General features: G+C 43.1%; 1 annotated feature.

Annotated features, from left to right (window-relative positions):
- Window positions 1677–1766: an enhancer, noted in NCBI's record as "active region_6727". NCBI's record gives its function as "activates an Ori minimal core promoter by ATAC-STARR-seq in GM12878 lymphoblastoid cells {active_cell/tissue: GM12878}" and the evidence as "EXISTENCE:reporter gene assay evidence [ECO:0000049][PMID:35858748]".

Below are 2055 nucleotides of genomic sequence, written 5' to 3' on the forward strand. Positions count from 1 at the left end.
TGCAGCTTCCAGGTCTCATCTCCAGAGATTCTGATTCAATGCCTCCGGTATAAGGCCTTGAGATTTGTATAGAAAAGGGAAACAACTCATAAAGCACTTTTTATCTACTTACCTCAGTACTTTTTAGAAGGTAAATATAAATTGTGATGTTATATCTTTGTTTTTAAGATAGCATGTATAATAAGCACTATCAATTTAATAAGTTATTTTTATATTTATTTGTTTGTTTGTTTATTTATTTATTTTGAGACATTGTCCCACTTTTTCACCCAGGCTAGAATGCAGTGGCACAATCATGGCTCACTGTAGCCTCAACCTCCAGGCTCAAGCAATCCTCCTGCCTCAGCCTCCAGAGTAGCTGCAACTACAGGCACCCTCCACCACACCTGGCTAATTTCTGTATTTTTTGTAGAGATGGGGTTTTGCCATGTTTTCCAGGCAGGTCTTCAACCCTGAGATCAAGCACTCCCAAAATGCTGGGATTTTTATAGGCATGAGCCACCACACCCAGCTTTATTTACTTTTTAACTTTTGTGGAAGGCAATCAACACAGTTACTATCAGAAGATGAGTTCATGCACCTAAAAGGAGGGACAGCAAAGGCATTAAATGCAGCTTTCAGGGAAGTCCTTTGTAAATGCCCTGGAGTAGAAGTCGCGTACTTTAATGTGCATAAAAATTACATTGAGACCTTGTTAAATGCAGATTCTGATTCAGCAAGTCTGGAATGAGTAAGAGTCTGCATTTCTAACAAGTTCCTAGGATCCTACTGTTCTGAGCATGACACTTTGAAAAGCAATGCTTAGGCGGGGCGTGGTGGCTCACGCCTGTAATCCTAGCACTCTGGGAGACAGAGGCAGGCAGATCACGAGGTCAGGAGATGGAGACCATCCTGGCTAACATGGCGAAACCCCGTCTCTACTAAAAATACAAAAAAATAGCCGGGCGTGGTGGCGGGCGCCTGTAGTCCCAGCTACTCGGAAGGCTGAGACAGGAGAATGGGGTGAACCCGGGAGGCGGAGCTTGCAGTGAGCCGAGACCGTGCCACTGCACTCCAGCCTGGGCGACAGAGCAAGACTCCGTCTCAAAAAAAAAAAAAAAAAAAAAAAAGAAAAGAAAAGAAAAGCAATGCTTAGTCAACAGCAGGCATCTTCAGACCTGCTGCCCATTTTTGTAAAGTTTTATTGGAACACCTAGTCGTGTCCGTTTGTTTACATGTTCTCTGTGGCAAAGTTGAGTAGTTGCAACAAAGGCTATTTAGTCCACACATCTTAAATGTTTATTAACTGACCCTTTTGTAGAAAAAGTCTGAAGACCTCTGGTCTAGAGTGATTACTATCACAGAAATCTGCAATCAGAATGTGTTAAGTTTGCGTTTGGACTTTGCCACATTTGTCTTTGTGCCTTGTCAGTCAGCTTCTCTGAATCACAGTTTCCTGTCTGTGGGGAGAGGATAAGAATAGCACATGCTTTATAGAGCTGTTGAAGGATTAAGCAAAACAATACCAGTAAGGAGCTTAGCACACAAATATAAGTGTGCTTCAGATACTTGGGGACCGTGTATAAAGTTTATATCCCAGCCGGGTGCAGTGGTTTATGCCCATAATCTCAGCACTTTGGGAGGTTGAGGTGGGAGGATTACTTGAGCCCAGGAGTTCGAGGTCAGCCTGGGCAACAAGATTCTGTCTCTACAAAATATAAAAAATTAACTGGGTGTCGTTGTGTGCACCTGTAGTCCCAGCTACTCGAGAGGCTGAGGTTGGGGGATCGCTTGTGCCTGGGAGTTTAAGGGTGCAGTGGGCCATGATCGCACCACTCACTATGGCATGGGCATGGGTGACAGCAAGACACTGTCTCAATAAATAAGTAAATAATACAAAATGCAATAAAAGCTGCCTAGAATGCATTTTTTTTTAAAGTCTGCATTCCTAGGCTTCACTTGTGAAGATTCAATTCAGGAGGTCTGGGGTGGGGCCTGAGAATCTGTTTTTGAAACATGTTTTCCAGAAGTTTTTTTTTTGTTTTGTTTTTTTGAGACAGGGTCTCACTGTGTCAC

Source organism: Homo sapiens, chromosome 12 (assembly GCF_000001405.40).
Source record: "Homo sapiens chromosome 12, GRCh38.p14 Primary Assembly".
NCBI classification, from domain to species: Eukaryota; Metazoa; Chordata; class Mammalia; order Primates; family Hominidae; genus Homo; species Homo sapiens.